Source organism: Homo sapiens, chromosome 16 (assembly GCF_000001405.40).
Source record: "Homo sapiens chromosome 16, GRCh38.p14 Primary Assembly".
Lineage (NCBI taxonomy): Eukaryota > Metazoa > Chordata > Mammalia > Primates > Hominidae > Homo > Homo sapiens.
Window position 1 is genome coordinate 62,954,016 of NC_000016.10, and position 1,037 is coordinate 62,955,052.

A 1,037-nucleotide genomic window follows, 5' to 3' on the forward strand; every position below is an offset into this window, starting at 1 on the left:
CTGAAATCAAAGATTTCTTTTGAACTCCAAAGATTTAGCAAAGATCTAGAATAAAAGTGGACGAGAATCAACAAAAAAACAGAGTGGCAGTGGGCATAATTATGGAATCACAGGATAATAAATTGTTTTGGTTACCTCCTCTTTACCCCAGTGTCGAGGAAGAATTTCCCACCCTAGGCTTAAGGCGATGGTTGAACATACAGCAGCTGGAACCGGACAGATGAGAACAGGAGCAGTTTATAGTCTCACATAAAGTGCTCTCTGTTTATGAGAAACTCACATAGACTCACAGCCCAGGGAAGGAGCACTCTGCACCACATAGGGCTAAACGGTGGTTCCATTCAAGAACAGAGTGAACTACCCGGACTCTGGGAGGCAAACACTGTAGTTACAAGGAGGTAAGGTGCATCCCAGTTTTCAAGAAAGAATGTAATTGTCTTGCTTGAATAATTTCACAGGCTGGCAGAAAACTGAAGCTTCTCCTCAGGGATAAATGAGCACATTCCTAGTCCTCAGCATCGGGGGATGGTTGTTTGGCTAGGTGACCTTATGCACAAAAGCACAGTGGGTGAAGGTCTTTCACATAGGCCCTTTGAGGCTGTCCCCATTTCATCAGCTATCAAAACAGCACACTATATTGGGTTTTAATTTCAGAATTTACACCAGACAGGCAAGCAGTGCGTCAGTACAAAACAATTGTCAATTCTCTTAATGTAGGGGCTATCAAAATATCTGATAGACTAGTTGGCCAGAGTGGGTTTTTTTGTTTTGTTTTGTTTTTGTTTTGTTTTGTTTTTTAACTAAGAGGGCTGCCTCTCAAGACTTGGAACTGTTTTAAAGTAGCAGATATCGGTACTTCCTTCCTGGAAACACTATTGTGCTTACCGCATTCCAAAAAGAGCTGAATGAGGTATGGTTAAGGACAAACTGTGAGTCTCTGGGGAGCCTTACTCTGCTTTGGAGGGTTTAATTTAGATTCCTTATCAGATAATAACCTGCTTTTTGGGTTTCTTTTCCTTTATTTTTATGATAGCAGT

The 1,037-nt window shown here is 41.4% G+C and overlaps 1 annotated feature.

The window, feature by feature from the left end:
• Positions 330 to 624: a silencer, noted in NCBI's record as "tiled region #101; HepG2 Repressive non-DNase unmatched - State 24:Quies". NCBI's record gives its function as "represses a minimal TATA promoter and a strong SV40 promoter by Sharpr-MPRA in HepG2 cells {active_cell/tissue: HepG2}" and the evidence as "EXISTENCE:reporter gene assay evidence [ECO:0000049][PMID:27701403]".